The 21403-nt window shown below is 46.5% G+C and overlaps 1 protein-coding gene and 1 pseudogene across 2 annotated transcripts in view, besides 4 other annotated features; both read left to right on the top strand.

Moving 5' to 3' along the window:
- ZNF816-ZNF321P (ZNF816-ZNF321P readthrough) overlaps window positions 1-18800 on the top strand; it is a 35747-nt gene extending 16947 nt beyond the window's left edge. The window contains exon 4 of the mRNA NM_001202473.2: window positions 16521-18800. Coding sequence (NP_001189402.1) covers window positions 16521-17032 — 512 coding nt within the window. The 3' untranslated portion in view covers window positions 17033-18800. The remainder of the gene's footprint in view (window positions 1-16520) is intronic.
- Window positions 920-1743: an enhancer, noted in NCBI's record as "H3K27ac hESC enhancer chr19:53447445-53448268 (GRCh37/hg19 assembly coordinates)". NCBI's record gives its function as "activates a minimal SCP1, AML or CMV promoter by ChIP-STARR-seq in primed H9 embryonic stem cells {active_cell/tissue: H9 hESC(primed)}" and the evidence as "EXISTENCE:reporter gene assay evidence [ECO:0000049][PMID:30033119]".
- Window positions 2569-3393: an enhancer, noted in NCBI's record as "H3K27ac-H3K4me1 hESC enhancer chr19:53445795-53446619 (GRCh37/hg19 assembly coordinates)". NCBI's record gives its function as "activates a minimal SCP1, AML or CMV promoter by ChIP-STARR-seq in primed H9 embryonic stem cells {active_cell/tissue: H9 hESC(primed)}" and the evidence as "EXISTENCE:reporter gene assay evidence [ECO:0000049][PMID:30033119]".
- Window positions 2645-2830: a silencer, noted in NCBI's record as "fragment chr19:53446358-53446543 (GRCh37/hg19 assembly coordinates)". NCBI's record gives its function as "represses an EF-1alpha promoter that drives an FKBP-Casp9 reporter gene in an ReSE screen in K562 erythroleukemia cells {active_cell/tissue: K562}" and the evidence as "EXISTENCE:reporter gene assay evidence [ECO:0000049][PMID:32094911]".
- Window positions 3170-3379: a silencer, noted in NCBI's record as "silent region_11001". NCBI's record gives its function as "represses an Ori minimal core promoter by ATAC-STARR-seq in GM12878 lymphoblastoid cells {active_cell/tissue: GM12878}" and the evidence as "EXISTENCE:reporter gene assay evidence [ECO:0000049][PMID:35858748]".
- On the top strand, window positions 3341-18800 carry ZNF321P (zinc finger protein 321, pseudogene; annotated as a pseudogene). The gene is made up of 2 exons (NR_037805.1): window positions 3341-3394; window positions 16521-18800. The product of NR_037805.1 is annotated as a zinc finger protein 321, pseudogene (transcript).
- Window positions 18801-21403: the final 2603 nt, after the last annotated feature.

Here is a 21403-nt window from a genome sequence, read left to right as displayed (position 1 = left end):
AATCCCAGCACTTTGAGAGGCTGAGGCAGGAAGATTGCTTGAGCCCAGGAGTTCGAGATCAGCCGGGGCAACGTAGTGAGACATTGTCTGTACTAAAAATCAAAAAACGAGTCAGGTGTGGTGGTGTGCGCCTGTGGTCCCAGCTGCTCGGGGCGCTGAGGTGAAAGGATCACTTGAGCCAGGGATTTCACGGCTGCAGTGAGTTCTAATCTCTCCACCACGCTCCAGCCTGGGTGACAGAGCTAGACCCTGTCTCAAACAAACAAGGAAATAGAGGTATAATTCCTCCTTTGAAAAAAAAAAGATTTTTTTTTGCCTCTTTTCTTGGGACATTTATTTAGAAAATTTGTAAATGCATTTTCTCTGTCTTCTGTGTGGGGAAAAGAGAGATCAGACTTACTATGTCTATGTAGAAAAAGGAAGACATAAGAAACACCATTTTGATCTGTACTACGAAAAATTCTTCTGCTTTGAGATGCTGTTAATCTGTAACCCTAGCCCCAACCCTGTGCTCCAGAAACATGTGCTGTGTTGACTCAAGGTTTAATGGATTTAGGGCTGGGCAGGATGTGCTTTGTTAAAAATGTGTTTGCTGGCAGTATGCTTGGTAAAAGTCATCGCCATTCTCCATTCTCGGTTACCCAGGGACACAATGCACTGTGGAAGGCCGCAGGGACCTTTGCCTGAGAAAGCCTGGGTATTGTCCAGGTTTCCCCCCACTGAGACAGCCTGAGATATGGCCTTGTGGGAAAGGAAAGACCTTATATCCCCTAGCCCGACACCTGTAAACCGTGTGTGCTGAGGAGGATTAGTGAGAGATAAAGGCCTCTTTGCAGTTGAAATAAAAGGAAAGCGTCTGTCTCCTGCTCGTCCCTGGGAATGGAATGTCTCAGAGTAAAACCCGATCGTACATTATATTTACTGAGATAGGAGAAAACCATCTTATGGCTGGAGGCTAGACATCATGGTGGCAATACTGCTCTTTACTGCACTGACATGTTTGTGTAAACTCAAATATAAATCTGGCCTACGTGCACATCCAGGCACAGCACCTTTCCTTAAACTTATTTATGACAGAGTCCTTTGCTCTCATGTTTTCCTGCTGACCCTTCCCCACCATTACCGTATAGTCCTTCCACATCCCCCTCTCCGAGATGGTAGAGATAGTGATCAATAAATACTGAGGGAACTCAGAGACCAGTGCCGGCGCGGGTCCTCCGTATGCTGAGCACTGGTCCGCTGGGCCCACTTTTCTTCCTCTATACTTTGTCTCCGTGTCTTATTTCTTTTCTCAGTCTCTCATCTCCATCTTGCGAGAAATACCCACAGGTGTGTAGGGGCAGGCCCCCTTCACTTCTGAGGGTTTTTTTTTTTTTTTTTTTGAGACAGAGTTTTGCTCTTATTGCCAGTGCTGGAGTGCAATGATGCAATCTCAGCTCACCGCAATCTCTGTCTCCCAGTTTCAAACGATTATCCTGCCTCAGCCACCAGAGTAGCCGGGATTACAGGCATGCACCAGCATGCCCGGCTAATCCTGTATTTTCACAAGAGACGGGGTTTCTCCATGTTGGTCAGGCTGGTCTCGAACTCCTGATCTCAGGCGTTCTGCCTGCCTCGGTGGTTTGACACTGGGATTACAGGCATGAGCCACCGCTCCCGGCTTGAAGTGGTATTTTTTAGAAACAACCTAAACTTTTTTTCAGCTTAATAACCCATGGATGTATTTCTGAAGGACCTGGGGTCTCTCTTTGAAAGGCAAACAACAAGAGAGACGGTACCTGTAACTCAGTAGGAAATTAAACGTTTGAAATATCAAATAATTCCAATTTAAACAATTTAAAGGTATGGACCTTTAAATAATTCTGAGCCTTGAAAGGAATGTGGTCATGCAACCTGTGTCCTGTGGTATGCAGACGCAACTTCTTTTTTCTTTTTTCTTTTTGAGACGTAGTCTCACTATGTAACCCAGGCTGGAGTGCAGTGGCATGATCTCAGCTTACTGCAACCTCCGCCTCCTGGGTTCAAGCGATTCTCCTGCCTCAGCCTCCCAAGTAGCTGGGACTACATTCACGCACCACCACGCCTGGCTAATTTTTGTATTTTTTAGTAGAGACAGGATTTCACCGTATTGGCCAGGCTGGCATCAAACTCCTGACCTCGTGATCCGCCCGCCTCAGCCTCCTAAAGTGCTGGGATTACAGGCGTGAGCCACCGGCGCCCGGCTGCAGACGCAACTTCTAAGAGTTTTCCTGGCCAGACGCGGTGGCTAACTCCTGTAGTCCCAACACTTTGGGAGACCAAGGCGGGTGGATCACTTGAGGTCAGGAGTTCGAATCCAGCCCGGCCAACGTGATGAAACCCCAGTCTCTACTAAAAATACAAAACAATTAGCCAGGCTTGGTGGCGCGCATCTGTAATCCCAGCTAGTTGGGAAGCTGAGGCAAGAGAACTACCTTAATCCGGGAGGTGAATTTTGCAGTAAGGCGGAGATCTCGCCGCTGCACTCCAGCCTGTTCAACAGAGAAATACTCTGTCTCAAAAAAGGAAAGAAAAGAAAAAATGTAAATATAAAAATGAAAGTAATAGATCTCTTCCACAAATGTGCTGGGACAACTAACTGGATATCCACATGAAAAATAACAATGTTGGATCCCCATCTCACAAAATCAAAAATTTTATTTAAAAAAAAGTTAAAAAAAAAAAGAGAGAGAGACAAGGAAGGGAGCGCTGCGGGAGGCGGTGTTACTTTGTCGCCCAGGCTGGCTTGGACCCCCAGGCTCAGCATCCTCCCGCCGCTGCTTCCTGAGCAGCTGGGACCTCAGACTTCCGCCCCCGCGCCCGCATTCCTGCTGTGTTTAAGCAGCAGGTGGTGACCTCACTCCTCCCTGGCCTGAGCACTCGGTCCCGCATCCCAGGCGGAGGCCCTGGGGAAGTCTCTGAAGCTGAGCACAGGGTGGACTGTCCCTCCTGAGTGAATGGAAAATAGAAAGGGAGAGGATTTCTATTCTGTTCTGTGGGCCGTCAGCATGAAATCGTATGTTCCGCCCAGGCAGGGCTTTGCATTTCACATTCTAGTTTGCATCCCCTTCCAGACAATTCCAGGGCTTTTGAATCATGCCTCAGCCTTCCTGGCCGGTCTCGCCTCCAAAACCCGAAAAATTGAGGCTCTGGGAGCCAGGCTGAGAGACGCACAGGTCCCGCCCCGGCCCCGCCCCCGCCCCGCCCTCTGTCTGTTCTGAAGGGCAAGGTCTCTCCGCCTCGCGCCCCGCCCCTACCTCGCTCAGGCCCCGCCTACCTCCCCGCGGGTCCCGCCCAGGCCTGGCTTCTGTCCCCAGAGAGCAGATTCGCACAAACCCGGAAGCGGGTCGCGTGGAGTGACGGTCCCACCGCGGGGGTGAGTTTTGCTCTGTGTTGTGTTAAGTCTGCGCTTCCCGGGTCCCAGGCGCTTCTGTACCTGGGACGTGGGGTCCTCATAGACCTGGAAGTTCTCCTCCGTCTTTCTTTACCCAGAGCAAATTGAGAAGTCCCCGTGAGAGTCTGGGGGTCGCTTCCTTTTGGGTTTAAAGTCACCATAGACCGGTCCCGTCCCGAATCTTTCTGCTATAGGGTAACGTATACACTTCCCATCGCGTAGTTTTCCTGCTCAAAACTTTTTTCTGACTCCTCCCAACCCGCACTTTTTAAAGTCCTTACCGCGAGGCGGATTCCCGCCCTGGGCGCCTCCCAGTCTTGTCTTAAGGCGCCGTCGCCCCCCACCTCCCTCCTCGTGCCGGGCCCTTATGCTCCCCAGGTCTTCCCTCCGTAATCACCGTTTCTCCTGAGCCCGCGTTGGGGAGGTGCCCGGGGCTGTCCTATGACACCGTGTGTTCTTGCCTGCCCTGCACCAGCCTCTGGAAAATGCGCTCCTCCGGGATGCAGGCATCTTACTTCAAAGCCCTCCTGTGATTGTGTTGGCCAAAGGGATCGGGAGACTGAGAGAGAGAGCAGTAGAAAACCTGAGACAGAGAAAAGAAGAATGAGAAAGGCCATAACAGATGGTAGCGTAGAGGATGGGTGAAGGATTTGCCAAGAGACAGCAAAAGTGGAAAAAAAAAAAAAAAAAAAAAGGATAAGAAAAACAGGAGGAGAAAAGGAACTGGAGAAAAGTAGAGAAAAGCTTGATGTACAGAGAGATGAAGAAGAGCAAGGTAGGGAGGGGGCAGCAAAGAGGGAGGCTCATCAGAGTGAGGGAGAGGAGGAGGGGTTTGGAGCCAGGGCAGACAGAGCAGAGTGGTGCTGGTGGCAAGAACAGAGGGAGAAGCACAGCAGGGAGGACACCTGGGGATCTGGGGTGCTAGAGATTGGGGAAAGGGGGATTTAACAGGGAAGAGATAATTTAACAGGGAGAGCAGAGGAGGCGCAGAGATGGGAGAAGAGGCAGAAATATATGGAGATTGAGGATGATCGAAAGATTGGGGAGAAGGAGCAACAAGAGGTTAAAGAATTTGCGACGATGGAGCAGAAGAGGTGGAAGAGAAGTAATAGAGGGAAGAAGGGGATAAACAGCAGGAGAGGAGAGGGGTACAAAATGAAGAGCAGAATCCCAGGGAAAAAGAAAAGAAAACAAGAGCTAGAGAGAGAAGGGGAGAATGAGAGATATGTACAGAATTAGGGAGGGAAGCACAGTAATGAAGACAGAGGGGCTGGGCGCAGTGGCTCACGCCTGTAATCCCAGCACTTTAAGAGACTGAGGCAAGGGGATTGCTTGAGTCCAGGAGTTCGAGGCCAGCCTGGGCAACATAGTGAGACCCCCATCTCTGCCAAAAGAAAAAAAAAATTAACTGGATGTGATGGTACACACCTGTAATCCCAGCTACTCTGGAGGCTGAGGCAGGAGGATCACTTGAGCCCAGGAGGTCCAGCCTGCAGTGAGCCGAGATCATGCCACTGCACTCCAGCCTGGTCAACAGAGCAAGACCCTGTCTCAAAAGAAAAAAAGGGGCGGGGAACTTTGGGTTCAGATGAGTGGGTGAGTTCATTAGATATGATTCGTTGTGACATGCTGACTTCTATGTATGTAGTTTAATAACTTAAAACTTGTTTAAATTATACAGATGAGATTGAGAATTTTAAAATTCCTATCTATGAGACATGTACATTCTATAAATCTTGGCATCAGAGGTTAGCTTCCAGTTGGAATCCCTATTCAGCCAGAGGGTTGTGTCTTCATTCACTTGTTAGACACTCTCTTCCCTTTTCCCAGGATGGAATAGGAAGTGGGGCAGTGAAGTGGGAGAAAAAAATCACTTTCTGTTATCATATAATAGTATAAATTTAATTAATTAATTAATATTTTGAGACAGGGTCTGGCTGTATCGGCCAGGCTGGAGTGCAGTGGCATGATCTCCTCTAACTGCAGCCTCGACCTCCTAGGCTTAAGCGATCCTCCTACCTTAGCCACCCGAGTAGCTGGGACCACAGGCATGAGCCATCAAGCCTGGCTAGCTTTTGTATTTTTTTTTTTTTTTGTAGAAAAGGGGTTTCACTATGTTTCCCAGGCTGGTCTCAAAATTCTGGGCTCAAAGGATCCTTCTGCTTTGACCTCCCAAATTACTGGGATTACAGTTGGGATTACAGAGAGGAGCCACCGCACCTGGCCTACAGAGTCTTTTTTTTTTTTTTTTTTTTTTTTTTTTTTTTGAGGTGGAATCTTGCTCTCGTCTAGGATGGAGTGCAATGGCACAGTCTCGGCTCACCATAATTTCCACTTCCCGAGTTCAAACGATTCTACTGTCTCAGTCTCCCTAGTAGCTGGGATTACAGGCATGAGCCACCACGTTCAGCTAAATTTGTTTTTAGTAGAGATGGGGTTTCTCCATGTTGTTCAGGCTGCTCTCGAACTCCCGACCTCAGGTGATCGCTCACCTCAGTCTCCCAAATGCTGGGATTACAGGCGTGAGCCACCATGCCCATCCCATAGTACTTTTTAAAAGGGACATCAGGGTGCAGTGGCTCACGCCTGTAATCCCAGCACTTTGGGAGGCTGAGGCGGGTGGATCACAAAGATCACAAGGTCAGGAGTTTGAGACCAGCCTGACCAACATGGTGAAATCCTGTCTCCTAAAAATTCAAAAATTACCTGGGCATGTTGGCACGTGCCTGTAATTCCAGCTACTTAGGAGGCTGAGGCAGGAGAATCACTTGAAGGTGGAAGGTGGAGGTTGCAATGAGCCAAGATTGCGCCACTGCACTCCATCCTGGGCGAGAGTGAGACTCCATCTCAAAAAAGAAAAATGGAAAAAAAAAAAAAAAAGGCACATCAAACCTGGGCGTGGTGGCTCATGACTGTAATCCCAGCACTTTGGGAGCCAATCATCTAAGGTCAGGAATTCAAGACCATTCTGGCCAACATGGTGAAACCCCGTCTCTAGTAAAAACACTAAAAAGTAAAGTGGGCGTGGTGGCGTGCACCTGTAGTTCCAGCTGCTCGGGAGGCTGAAGCATGAGAATCACATGAACTTGGGAGGTAGAGGTTGCAGTGAACCGAAATGATACCACTGCACTGCAGCCTGGGGGGCAGAGCGAGGCTTCATCTCAAAAAAAAAAAAACAAAAAATTAAAAAACAAAAGGGACATCAAAAGTGCTTTTGTTCTCGTTGTGTAATAGATTTCCTTTTTTTCTTTCTGGTTCCTCTTCATTTCTTTCTTTTTTTTTTTCTTTCTTTTTTTTTTTTTGGAGTTTGAGATAAATGTTAATTTTAAAAATTCCTTTTTTAATCCATAATCACTTCTTCTGAAAGATGCCTTTGTGGCATCCTATAATCAGCTCACATCATTCCTTTCTGTACAAGTATATGTTCTAGTTATTTTCCCGTTGACATCTGAATTTGTTCGAGTTTTACAAAACAATTTCAAAGTAGTTTCTGTTTGAAATTAGTTGCGTCCGGTTCAGATCGAGGTCTGCATGCTTTCTACTCTTTATTATTTATTGGCAACCTTTGACATCAAAATGTGGTTTAACCAGTTAGTCTGTTTTTCAGTTTTCTTTCCTTATGTCATTGTTAAAATCTTGAGCTGTGAGCTATTAAGTGCATGTTTCCCTCAAGGCCCTCTGGTCCATGTGGACAAATGTTGAAAGCCCAACTCCTCACTGTGGCTCCATAGCCCTGTGTCCAGGGCCCCTGCCAGTGTCCAGCCTCCTCCTGGGAGCTTGCCCTCATCTCATGACTCCCTCTGCCCCAGTCACATTTGCTTATCTGTTTTCCCAAAAATTAAAATCCTGCCTGTCTCTGGTCATTGTCCCTGCTCTTACCCTATGTCCCTAAATTATCATGGCCCTTTCCCTATTTCCTCCTTCAGGTCTAGGCTCAGAGATGTCTCCCATGCCCTCCCACCCCCATCTGAAGTTCCCTCTGCCTGTCAGTCTCTATCACATTACTCAGATTTTATTATCTCTGCATCAGTCACATCAGAAATGCTCTTTTTATTTTTTTATTTTTTGAGACAGAGTCTCACTCTATCATCCAGGCTGTGAGTGCAGTCTCATGACATCTCTCCCTGCAACCTCTGTCTCCTGGGTTCAAGCGATTCTTGTGTCTCACCTCACAAGTAGCTGAGATTACAGGTGTGTGCCACCACACCTGGCTAATTTTTGTATTTTAATTCTAATTTAATTTTATTTTACTTTTGAGTCTCAATCTGTCACCCAGGCTGGAGTGCAGTGGCACGATCTTGGCTCACTGCAACCTCCACCTCCTAGGTTAAAGCGATTCTCCTGCCTCAGCCTCCCGAGTAGCTGGGATTACAGACACCCACCAAGCCCAGCTACTTTTTGTATTTTTAGTAGAGATGGGGTTTCACCATGTTGGCCAGGCTGGTCTCGAACTCCTAACCCCAAGTAATCCACCTGTCTCGGCCTCCCAGAGTGCTAGGATTACAGGCATGAGCCAACTCACCTGCTCCTATTTTTGTATTTTTAGTAGAGATAGGGTCTCACCATGTTGGCCAGGCTGGTCTTGAACTCGTGACCTCAGGTGATCTGTCTGCCTCGGCCTAGCAGTGTGCTGGGATTATAGGCGGGAGCCACCGTGCCCACCCAGAAACACCTTTCTGCATGGGTTATTTTGAAAATTTTGTGTCTCCCTTCACTGAAGGATGCACAGTTCTCATCTTGGCCACAGGACAACTGCAGCACCTACTCTGGGGTTATAGTTCAGATGCTGAGGCATCCTCAGGGAAGACTCAGGGCCTGGGGCAAGTGTGAGGATGGTCCCACATTTCTTCTTGAAATTTCAACTCTAATTGATCTGAACTTCCTGTGGCTATTTATTTCAGTCAAAATAAGAAGAGAAGGCCTCACTAGGGTCAGAAAAGCCTTACAGGCCAGACCCTGTGTCCTCAGGCAGTGCCGAGGCATCCCCACTTTTATCACCTGTGCCACTGCCTTACTCCAGCTCCTGGGTCTTCCGTGCTCTGCACATCACCAGGACCCAGTTTGGCCGTTATGGGCAGGGACTTTGCCACAAGCAGGTGATGAGCTCAGAGTCAGGGGTTCTGGATTCCCTTCAGGAAGGGTGGGGAGAAGGTCAGGGACCTGAGGGCATGAAGGACACACTCCTACACAACTAGTTCTGTTCCAGAGGAGCTGGAGGCTCCGTGACTTCAGGAAGATTCTTCCAAGGATCAAGAGTGCAAACAGCACAGTGAACTGCAGCCCAAGGGCAACCTCCTCCTACCAGGCCAGTGGCGATGATGCTCTAGTGGCTTTTTCTTGCCTGTCACAACACGCGAGCATGCACACACACACACACACACACACACACACCGAGTCACAAGGCAGCTGGGGAGCCGAAGGTCAAGATGCTATAATGTAAATGTGTAGCTGGGTGCAGTGGCTCACGCCCATAGTTCTACCACTTTGTGAAGGGGTCCTGTCCCTCCAACACCCATGGATATTTCTCACAAGGTGGAGGTGAGAGACTGAGAAAAGAGACAAAGTACAGAGGGAGAAAAGTGAGCCCAGAGGACCGGCGGTCAGCAAGTGAGGACCTGCACCGGCATTGGCCTCTGAGTTCCCTCAGTATTTATTGATCACTATCTTTACCATCTTGGAGAGGGGAATGTGGCAGGACTATAGGGTGATGGTGGGGAGAAGTTCAGCAGGAAAACATGTGAGCAAAAGACTCTGTGTCATAAATAAGTTTAAGGAAAGGTGTTGTGCCTGGATGTGCATGTAGGCCAGATTTATGTTTGACTTTACACAAACATCTCAGTGCAGTAAAGAGCAGTATTGCCGCCATGATGTCTCGCCTCCAGCCATAGGGCGGTTTTCTCCTATCTCAGAATAGAATGTCTGGTCGGTTTTACACTGAGTCATTCCATTCCCAGAGACGTGCAGGAGACAGATGCTTCCCCCTTATCTCAATGGCACAGAGGCCTTCCTCTTTCACTAATCCTCCTCAGCACAGACCGTTTACAGGTGTCAGGCTGGGGGACAGTCAGGTCTTTCCCTTCCCATGAGGCCATATCTCAAGCTGTCTCAGTCGGGGGAGACCTGTGCAATACCCAGGCTTTCTTGGGCAGGGTTTCCTGCGGCCTTCCGCAGTGTATTGTGTCTCTGGTTAATAGAGAATGGAGAATGGCAATGAATGGCAGTGGTAAACCAAGCATACTGCCTGCAAACACATTTTCACCAAGGCACACCCTGCACAGCCCTAGATCCATTACACCTTGAGTCAATACAGCACATGTTTCTGTGACACAGGGTTGGGACAAAAGTTAAAGATTAACAGCATCTTAAAGTAGAACAATTTTTCTTAGTACAGATCAAAGTGGAATTTCTTTTGTCTTCCTTTTTCTACGTAGACGCAGTAACAATCTGATCTCTCTTGCTTTTCCTCACGGTGCACCACAGAGCTCGGCTATTTTTTAATATTTTTAGTAGAGATGGGGTTTCACCATATTGGTCAGGCTGGTCTCGAATTCCTGACCTCGTGATTCGCCCGCCTCGGCCTTTCAAAATGCTAGGATTACAGGCGTGAGCCACCGTTCCCGGCAGTGCCTGGCTAATTTTTGTATCTTTAGTAGAGATGAACTTTCTACATATTGGTCAGGCTAGTCTCGAACTCCCAACCTCAAGTGATTCACCCGCCTGGTTTTTAAAAGTTAATGCTTTTAGATTGCTTCACATATTGGAAGTTTTATGGTACAGACTGTAAACTTTTTTTGTTTAATAAGATTTGTCAGCCTTCGGTGATGTTGGTGATGAGATGCCTCTTTTCCTGTCTCGCTCATTTCACTGTTCTGTCAGAAATAGCTTACACTAGCCAGCCGCGGTGACTCACACCTCTAATTCCAGCACTTTGAAAGGCCGAGGTGGGTAGATCGCTTGAGGTCAGGATTTTGAGACCAGTTGCACAAACATAATGAAACCTCAAATCTACTAAATGAAAATAAAATTGGCTGAGCGCAATGGCTCACCCTTGTAATCCCAGCATTTTGGGAGGCTGAGAAAGACAGATCACCTCAGGTCAGAAGTTCAAGACCAGCCTGGCCAACATGGTGAAACCCTGTCTCAACTAAAAATACAGAAATTAGCTGAGCTTGGTGCACCTGTAATCCCAGCTATTTGGGAGGCTGAGACAGGAGAATCACTTGAACCCGGGAGGCTATGCTGCAGTGAGCCATGATCGTGCCACTGCCCTCCAACCTGGGTGACAGTGGGAGACTCTGTCTCCCCCCCCCAACAAAAAAAATTAACCAGGCGTGGTGGCGTGTGCCTTAGTCCCAGCTACTCCAGAGGCTGAGGCGGGAGAATCTCCTCAGGCAGGAGAATCGTGCCACTACACCCCAGTCTGGGTGATGAAGCGTGACTCAGTCTCAAAAACAGACAAAAAAAGAAATAGTGTAAACTAGAAAGCTTCAGACACAGAAATTTATTTCTCATGAATCTGGAAAGTGGAAAATCTAAGAGCAAGATTTCAACCAGATTGGTTCCTGGTGAGATCCTTCTTCATGGTTTCGTCCAGCCATCTTCCTCCTGTGTCCTGACATGGTGTAAAGAGGAACAGGCAATGAACACTTTACTGTCTCTTTTTTATAAAAGCACTAGTCCTGGCCAGGCGCCGTGGCTCTTGCCTGTAATCCCAGCACTTTGGGAGGCCGAGGCAGCCGGATCACCTGAGGTCGGGAGTTCGAGACCAGACTGACCAACATGGAGAAACCACGTTTCTACTAAAACTACAAAATTAGCCGGACGTGGTGGCGCATGCCTGTAATCCCAGTTGCTCGGGAGGCTGAGGCAGGAGAATCGCTTGAACTGAGGAGACCGAGGTCGTGGTGATCCAAGATCATGCCATTGCACTCCAGCCTGGGCAACAAGAGCAAAATTCCGTCTCAAAAATCAGTAAATAAAGAAAAAATAAAAATAAAAGCATTAGTCCTATTCATGAACAGTCAACACAGAAGACCAAATTCTATAAAAGGCCTCATCTGCAGGAACATCCTATCGGAGAATAAGAAATCTGATAATGACTTTTAGCCAATACAAACATTTAGGCCAGATAGCCTGCATCATATTTTTTGTTTTTGCTGTGCAGTTTGTTTTCTACAAAGTTTTCTCTGACTCAGTTTATAAATTTTCCCAGTACACATTCTATGTTTTGCATTTTATGCATAGCAAACTATATAAGGGCAATGCATTGTGGGGAAAAGAAAGAGAGATCAGATTGTTACTGTGTCTATGTAGAAAAGGAAGACAAGAAATTCCATTTTGGTCCATATGAAGAAAAATTGTTTTGCTTTGAGATGCTGTTAATCTGTAACTTTAGCCCCAACCCTGTGCTCACAGAAAAGTGCTGTACTGAATCAAGGTTTAATGGATTTAGGGCTGTGCATGATGTGCCTTGTTTTTTTTTTTTTTTATTTTTTTTTATTTTTTAATTTTTGACACGGAGTCTCGCTCTGTCTCCCAGACTGGATTGCAGTGGCACAATCTTGGCTCACTGCAAGCTCCACCTCCTGGGTTCATGCCATTCTCCTGCCTCAGCCTCCTGAGTAGCCGGGACTACAGGTGCCCGCCACCATGCCGGACTAATTTGTTTTGTATTTTTAGTAGAGACGGGTTTCACCGTGTTAGCCAGGATGGTCTCGATATCGTGACCTCGTGATCTGTCTGCCTCGGCCTCCCAAAGTGCCGGGATTACAGGCATGAGCCACAGCGCCCTGCAGGATGTGCCTTGTTAACAATATGTTTGCAGGCAGTATGCCTGCTAAAAGTCATCGCCATTCTCCATTCTCGATTAACAAGGGGCACAATGTACTGTGGAAAGCCGCAGGGACCTCTGCCCAAGAAAGCCTGGGTATTGTCCAAGGTTTCCCCTCACTGAGACAGCCTGAGATATGGCCTCATGCGAAAGGAAAGACCTTACCATCCCCCAGCCTGACACCCATAAGGGGTCTGTGCTGAGGAGGAGTAGTGAAAGAGGAAGGCCTCTTTGCAGTTGAGAAAAGAGGAAGGCTTCTGTAGGCTGGGTGTGGTGGCTCACACCTGTAATCCCAGCACTTTGGGAGGCCAAGGCGGGTAGATCACGGGAAAAGGAGACCGAGACCATCCTGGCTAACACGGTGAAACTCCGTCTCTACTAAAAATCTAAAAAATTAGCCAAGTGTGGTGGCGGGTGCCTATAGTCCCAGCTACTTGGGAGGCTGAGGCAGGAGAATGGCGTGAACCTGGGAGGCAGAGCTTACAGTGAGTTGAGATCGTGCCACTGCACTCCAGCCTGGGCGACAGAGCGAGACTCCATCTCAAAAAAAAAAAAAAAAAAGGGAGAAAGGCTTCTGTCTCCTGCTCATCCGTGGGAATGGAATGTCACGGTGTAAAGCCGACCATTCCCATTCGTTCTCTTCTGAGACAGGAGAAAAGCGCCCCATGGCTGGAGGCGAGATATGCTGGCAGTAATACTGCTCTTTTACTCTTTCCTACACTGAGATGTTTGGGTGAAGAGAAACAAAAATCTAGCCTAATTGCACATCCAGGCACAGTATGTTTCCTTGAACTTATTCATGATACAGATTCCTCTGCTCACATGTTTCCCTGCTGACCTTCTCCCCACTTGTTCCCCTACTACACTCCCCTCGCTAAAATAGTAAAAATAATGATCAATAAATACTGAGGAAACTCATAGACTGGCGCCGATGCAGGTCCTTGCATGTTGAGTGTGCCGGTCCCCTGGGCCCACTGTTCTTTCTCTATACTTTGTCTCTGTGTCTTCTTTCTTTTCTGAGTCTCTCATCCCACCTGATGAGAAATACCCACAGGTGTGGAGGGTCAGGCCCCCTTCAATGCATATATATAGAACTTATAGGGTCCAGCACTATGGGGCTTAGCGGGTATTCACCCCGTGTGCAGAGACAAGAGATTGTAGTAAGTAAAGACACAAGACAAAAAGATAAAGAGAAAACAGCTGGGCTTGGGAGACAACTACCATCAAGTTGAGGAGACCGGTAGTGGCCCAGAAAGGCTGGGCTCGCTGGTATTTATTGCATACAAGACAAGGGGGCAGGGTAAGCAGGGTGAATCTTCTAAGTGATTGACAAGGTGAAGAAAGTCACGTGATCACGGGACAGGGGGCCCTTCCCTCTTAGGTAGCCGAAGCAGAGAGAGAAGGCAGCATACATCAGCATTTTCTTCTATGCACTTATAAGAAAGATCAAAGACTTTAAGACTTTCACTATTTCTTCTACCGCTATCTACTATGAACTTCAAAGAGGAGCCAGGAGTACGGGAGGAGCATGAAAGTGGACAAGGAGCTTGACCATTGAAGCACAGCACCACAGGGAGGGGTTTAGGCCTCGGGATGACTGCGGGCAGGCCTGGATAATATCCAGCCTTCCACGAGAAGCTGGTGGAGCAGAGTGTTCCCTGACTCCTCCAAGGAAAGGAGACTCCCTTTCGCGGTCAGCTAAGTAACAGGTGCCTTCCCAGACACTGGCGTTACCGCTTGACCAAGGACCCCTCAAGCGGCCCTTATGCGGGTGTGACAGAGGCCTCACCTCTTGCCTTCTAGGTCACTTCTCACCATGTCCCTTCAGCACCTGACCCTATACCCGCCAGTTATTCCTAGGTTATATTAGTAATGCCACAAAGAGTAATATTAAAAGCTAAAGATTTATACTGTTTATAATAATGATTGATAATTGTCCATGATCATCTCTGTATCTAATTTGTGTTGTGATTGTTCTTATTCTAACTATTTTCTTTATTATACTGAAATGGTTTGTGCCTTCAGTCTCTTGCCTCGGCACCCGGGTAATCCTCCACCCACAAGAACTGCCTCAGTCTCCCAAGTAGCTGGGATTACAGGTGCCCACCACCATGCCCAGCTGATTTTTTTGTGTTTTTAGTAGAGATGGGGTTTCCCCATGTTGGCCAGGCTGGTCTCAAACTCCTGACCTCATAATCCGCCAGCCTCAGCCTCCCAAAATGCTGGGATTACAGGTGTGAGCCACCGTGCCCGGCCGTTAGTCAATTCTTATTCCTTTTAATGCTATGTATTTTCTTTTCTTTTCTTTTCTTTCTTTCTTTCTTTTTTTTTTTTTTTTTTTTTTTTTGAGATAGAGTCTAGCTCTGTCCCCCAGGCTGGAGTGCAGTGGCGCCATCTCGGCTCACTGCAACCTCCCAGGTTCACACCATTCTCCTGTCTCATCTTTCTGAGTAGCTGGGCCTACAGGTGCCCACCACCACGCCCAGCTAACGTTTTGTATTTTTAGTAGAGGCAGGGTTTCACCATGTTAGCCAAGATGGTCTCGATCTCCTGACCTCGTGATCTGCCCGACTTGGCCTCTCAAAGTGCTGGGATTACAGGTGTGAGCCACCGTGCCCAGCATTGTTGTGTATTTTCTTGACCTCCTACATCAGAGGGTAGTGGGCTTTTTTTTTTTTTTGAGACGGAGTCTTGCTCTGCACCAGGCTGGAGTGCAGTAGTGCGATCTCGGCTCTCTGCAACCTCCACCTCCCGGGTTTAAGTGATTCTCCTGCCTCAGCCTCCCGAGTAGCTGGGATTACAGGCACACACCACCACACCCAGCTAATTTTTGTATTTTTAGTAGAGACGGCATTTCACCATGTTGGCCAGGATGGTCTCGATCTCTTGACCTTGTGATCCGCCTGCCTCGGTCTCCCAAAGTGCTGGGATTACAGGCGTGAGCCACCATGCCTGGTCTAGAAGGTAGTGATCTTAATATGTATTTCAGGTCTTATATGGTGTGCTGGTGGTTAAGTAGACATTGTGGACTTTTTCTTAAGAGAGAATTGCTTACAATTCTGCAGGCTATATAAATGTACTTATTTTCTTGCTGGTTTTATCATGGGTTACAATATATTATTAATTTTTCTGATTTTACATATGGCTTTTAAGTATCTGGTATGCAATATAACTGACACATTCCACTTGTTAATGTCACAAAGTGCCACCAGGCACAGAGGCTCACACCTGTAATCCCAGAACTTTGGGGAGCCAAGGCGTGTGGATTACTTGAGGTCAGGAGATTGAGACTTGCCTGGCCAACATGGTGAAACCCCATCTCTGCTAAAAATACAAAAATTAGCTGTGCATAGTGGCGTGTGCCTGTAATCCCAGCTACTCAGGAGGCTGAGGCAGGAGAATCACTTCAACCGTGGAGGCAAAGGTTGTAGTGAGCCGAGATCCTGCCATTGCACTCCAGCCTGGAGTGCAAGACTCTGTCTCAAAAAAATAAAACTACCAAATTTTTTTAAAGTCACAAAGTGCCTGTTCTGCATGGATAAAGGTAATTTTATGATATTTATCTAGAAAAATATTGTATTAACATTTTCTTTTATTGTTTTCTTTTTTTTTTGAAACAAAGTCTGACTTTGTCGCCCAGGCTTAATTGCAGTGGTGCGATCTCGGCTCACTGCAACTTCTCCCTCCCAGGTTCAAGCAATTCTTCTGCCTCAGCCTCCTGAGTAGCTGGGAATACAGGTGCCGGCCATGACACAAGGCTAAGTTTTGTAATCTTTTGTTATCTTCTCAGTGCTATGATTGTTTGACAATACAGAATTTCCATTGATTTTGATTATCCTTACATGAGCTTGTTGTGGATTATTTACCAATATAGTATATTGTATGGTCCTACAGCATTTATTTGTATACAGTAAATATGCTGTAAGTATGAAGAATACATTTTTTTCTTCTTTCATAGACAGTGATATGTTTTTTGCAAACTCTCATACACTTTAGGGTCACAGTGGAAAAACACTCCATACTTTAGGCTTACACATGTTTGTGCCCTGTCAGTGTTTTGTCATGATATTAGAAATAGGCTTCCATAGAAATGACTTGAAGTACATGCTATCACCCTTTATTTGTTATAGAATCTTACTCCTTTTGTGTTCCTAAACTTTGAAGCTCATGTTTGGAAAGTTTAAAATAAGAATTGTTTTTTTGGTTCATATTTACACATTTCAGTATTGTTTATCATCTGTACTTAATTAGAAACCTATTGGTGTTTATATTTTGTAGATATCTCTTCCAAATGCATGATGAAGGAGTTCTCATCCACAGCGCAAGGCAATACAGAAGTGATCCACACAGGGACATTGCAAAGACATGAAAGTCATCACATTAGAGATTTTTGCTTCCAGGAAATTGAGAAAGATATTCATAACTTTGAGTTTCAGTGGCAAGAAGAGGAAAGGAATGGTCACGAAGCACCCATGACAGAAATCAAAGAGTTGACTGGTAGTACAGACCGACATGATCAAAGGCATGCTGGAAACAAGCCTATTAAAGATCAGCTTGGATCCAGCTTTCATTCGCATCTGCCTGAACTCCACATATTTCAGCCTGAATGGAAAATTGGTAATCAAGTTGAGAAGTCTATCATCAATGCCTCCTTAATTTTGACATCCCAAAGAATTTCTTGTAGTCCCAAAACCCGTATTTCTAATAACTATGGGAATAATTCCCTCCATTCTTCATTACCCATACAAAAATTGGGAAGTACACATGAGAGAAAAATCTTTCCAATGTAATGAGAGTGGCAAATCCTTTAATTATAGCTAACTCTTAAGGAAATATCAGATAATCCATTTAGGATAGAAACAATATAAATGTGAGGTATGTGACAAGGTCTTTAATCAGAATTGATTCCTTGTATGCCATAATAGATGTCACACTGGTAAGAAACCTTACAGTTGTTATGAGTGTGGCAAGACCTTCAGTCAGACGTCATCCTTTACATGCTATCGTAGACTTCATACTGGAGGGAAACCTTACAAGTGTAGTGAGCATAACAAGACCTTTGGTTGAAATTCAGCCCTTGTAATTCATAAGGCAATTCATACTGGAGAGAATCCTTGCAAGTGTAATGAATGTGGCAAGGTTTTTAATCAGAAAGCACACCTTGCACGTCATCATAGACTTCATACTAGAGAGAAGCCTTACAAATGTGAAGAATGTGAAAAAGTTTTCAGTCGCAAATCACATCTTGAAAGACAAAACTTAAAAGAGGTGGCGTTGCCCTTGTTTTTGAGAATGCCCTACTGTGTAAGTGGTAGTGTTCTTTCTTTTTTTTTTTTTTTTAAGACGGAGTCTCACCTGAGCGAGCCTCTGCACTGGCCTTATTTATTATTGTTATTAATTTTTTGTTTTTGAGACGGAGTTTCACTCTTATTGCCCAGGCTGGAGTGCAATGGTGCAATCTTGGCTCACTGCACCCTCTGTCTGTTGGGCTCAAGCGTTTCTCTTGCCTCAGCCTCCCAAGTAGCTGGGACTACAGGTGCATGCCACCACGCCTGGTTAATTTTTGTATTTATAGTGGAGATGGGGTTTCTCCATATTGGTCAGGCTGGTCTTGAACCCTTGACCTCAGGTCATCCACCCGCCTCGGCCTTCCAAAACGCTGGATTTACAGGCTTGAGCCACGCGTCCGGCCTGAAGTGGTATTTTTTAGAAAGTAACTAAACCTTTTTTCAGTTTAATGACCCAGGGATGTATTTCTGAAGGACTTGGGAGCGATCCTTTTAAGGCAAACAAGGGAGATAGTACCTGTATCTTAGTAGGAAATTAAATAATTCAAACATCAAATGTTTCAAATTAAAAGCTACCGACCTTTAAATAATTCTGAGCCTTGAGAGGAACGTGGTCATGCAACAAGAGTCCAGTGGCATGCAGGCACAAGGTTTTTTCTTTTTTGTTTTTTGTTTTTTTTTGAGACAGTCTCGCTCTGTCGCCCAAGCTGAAGTGCAGTGGTGCGATCTCAGCTCACTGCAAGCTCCGCCTCCTGGGTTCACGTCATTTTCCTGTCTCAGCCTCCCCAGTAGCTGGGACTCCAGGCACCCACCACCACTCCCGGCTAATTTTTTGTATTTTTAGTACAGACAGGGTTTCACTGTGTTAGCCAGGATGGTCTTGATCTCCTGACCTTGTGATCCACCCACCTCAGCCTCCCAAAGTGCTGGGATTACAGGCATGAATGACCGCGCCCAGCCGCAGGCGCAACTTTTTTGAGTTTTCCTGGCCAGGCGCAGTGGCTCAAGCCTGTAATCCCAGCATTTTGGGAGGCCGAGGTGGGCGGATCACTTGAGGTCAGGAGTTAGAAACCAGCCTGGCCAACGTGGTGAAACCCCGTCTCCAGTAAACATACAAAGCCATTACAGGGCATGGTGGGGCACGCCTGTATTCCCAGCTACTTGGGAGGCTGAGGCAGGAGAACTGCTTGATCCGGGGAGGTGGAAGTTGCAGTGGGCCAAGATCATGCCACTGCACCCCAGCCTGGGCAACAGAGCAAGACTCCGTACCAAAAAAAAAAAAAAAAAAAAAAAAAAGCTATATAATTCAGTTTCCTAATATCAATTTAAAAAAGAAAAGTTTTGGCCAGGCAAAGAGGCTCACACCTGTAATCCCAGCATTTTGGGAGGCCAAGGCGGGAGCATCACGAAGTCAGGAGATGGAGACCATCCTGGCTAACACGGTGAGACCCCCGTCTCTACTAAAAATACCAAAAATTAGCCAGGCATGGTGGTGTGCACCTGTAGTCCCAGCTACTCAGGAGGCAGAGGCAGAAGAATTGCTTGAACCCAGGAGGCGGAGGTTGCAGTGAGCCAAGATCACACCACTGCACTCCAACCTGGGTGACAGAGCGAGACTGTCTCAAAAAAATAAAAAAAGAGGGCCGGGCGCGGTGGCTCACGCCTGTAATCCCAGCACTTTGGGAGGCTGAGGTGGGCAGATCACCTGAGGTCAGGAGTTCGAGACCAGCCTCAACATGGAGAAACCCCGTCTCTATTAAAAATACAAAATTAGCCAGGCGTAGTGATGCATGCCTGTAATCTTAGCTACTCGGGAGGCTGAGGCAGGAGAATTGCTTGAACCTGGGAGGCGGAGGCTGTGGTGAGCCGAGATAGTGCCATAGCACTCCAGCCTGGGCAACAAGAGCGAAACTCTGTCTCAAAAAAAAAAAGAAAAGAAAAAAACACAAAAGTTTTCCTGTAGATAATTAGGAAGACTGAGCAGCCCCAGAGACAAGACCTCTTGACATCATTGTCCCTCTTTTTTCTTTTTTTTTTTTTTTGAGACGGAGTCTCTCTCTGTCACCCAGGCTGGAGTGCAGGGGTGCAATCTCAGCTCACTGCAAGCTCCGCCTCCTGGGTTCACCCCATTCTCCTGCCTCAGCCTCCCAAGTAGCTGGTACTACAGACGCCCATGACCACACGCGGCTAATTTTTTGTATTTTTAGTAGAGATGGGTTTCACTGTGTTAGCCAGGATGGTCTCGATCTCCTGACCTTGTGATCTGCCCGCCTCACCTCCCAAAGTGCTGGGATTACAGGCGTGAGCCACCGCACCTGGCCGATTGTCCCTTCTTATGTAGTGATAAAGTAACCTTTCTTGAACTGTATCAATCCATCACCAGTCAAGTTGCTGCAACTTATCCACTGGTCTTGAATGGAAAATGTGTTGATTCTGGTAAAGCTTCTCTGTCTTTCCCTGTGTGTGAAACCTTAACATCTCTACTTGGGAACACAGACCCCCTTCATTTGGAGTTGATGTTTCCAGGTGGCTATCCTCAAGTTTTGTGTTCACATAAACTCTATACTTAATCATGTATTCTAAATTTTATTATTTACTGCTGATGTCGGTTTCTGTCGGATTGTAGGAGCCTCACTAGAGATGGCACCTGTCGCCATGTTGTAAAACTCACACTTGTCAAAAAGACATGGGTTAGCGTTTTCCCCCCTTCCTCAGGATGAAGCTAATTAGCTGACACAAATGGTCACCTCCATTACCAAGTAGAGCCAGGATGAACTATGTGTGACCAAGGGTATTGTCAAGTCCTCTTCCCTGAGGACTGATTAGTGTTTATCTTGAAAACATGTACTTAGGCTGGGCGCGGTGGCTCACGCCTGTAATCCCAGCACTTTGGGAGGCTGAGGTAGGTGGATCACCTGAGGTCAGGAGTTTGAGACCAGCCTGACCAAAAAGGTCAAACTCCGTCTCTACTAAAAATACAAAAATTAGCCCAGCATGGTAGCAGACGCCTGTAGTTCCAGCTATTCAGGAGGATGAGACAGGAGAATTGCTTGAACCCAGGAGGTGGAGGCTGCAGTAAGCTGAGATCTTGCCACTGCACTCTAGCCTGGGCAACAGAGTGAGACTCTTGTCTCCAAAAAAAAGAAAGAAAAAAGACAAAAGAAAACATGTACTTAATGGGTTGTATAGAACAGTGAAGTTTCTCTCTCTGTTTTCAACCTCTCAACTGTTTGCCTCTATTTCCCATTACATTCAGGTCTAAGGCTCTTTATTAATAAAATGGTTGTTATTTCCTTCTCTGTTATCATAGTGAAGATGATTTTTCATCTGGGGAAGATTTTTTAGTTTTCAATTGTATTTTCTCAACATTTAAAAAGTGAAGTAAAGAGTATTTCTTGGGCCCGGCACGGTGACTCACGCCTGTAATCCCAGCACTTCGGAAGGCCGAGGCAGGCGGATCACTTGAAGTCAGGAGTTTGAGACCAGCCTGGCCAACATGGTGAAACCCTGTCTCTACCAAAAGAACAAAAATTAGCCGGGCATGATGGCACGTGCCTGTAATACCAGCTACTATGCAGGCTGAGTCAGAAGAATTGCTTCAACCCAGAAGGCAGAGGCTGCAGTGAGCCGAGATCTTGCCAATGCACTCCAGCCTGGGTGACAGAGAAATACTCTGTCTCAAAAAAAAAAAAGAAAAAGAAAAAAAAGTAAATAAAAAAAAGAAACTAATAGATGTCATCCACAATTGTGCTGGGACAACTAACTGGATATCCACATGGAAAAGAATAAAGTTGGATCCCTATCTCACACAATGAAAATTTTATTTTAAAAATTAAAAAAAAAAGAGATGAGGAAGGGATCCCTGCGGCAGGG

Source organism: Homo sapiens, chromosome 19 (assembly GCF_000001405.40).
Source record: "Homo sapiens chromosome 19, GRCh38.p14 Primary Assembly".
NCBI lineage: Eukaryota > Metazoa > Chordata > Mammalia > Primates > Hominidae > Homo > Homo sapiens.
This window is presented reverse-complemented; position numbering and strand designations above follow the sequence as displayed.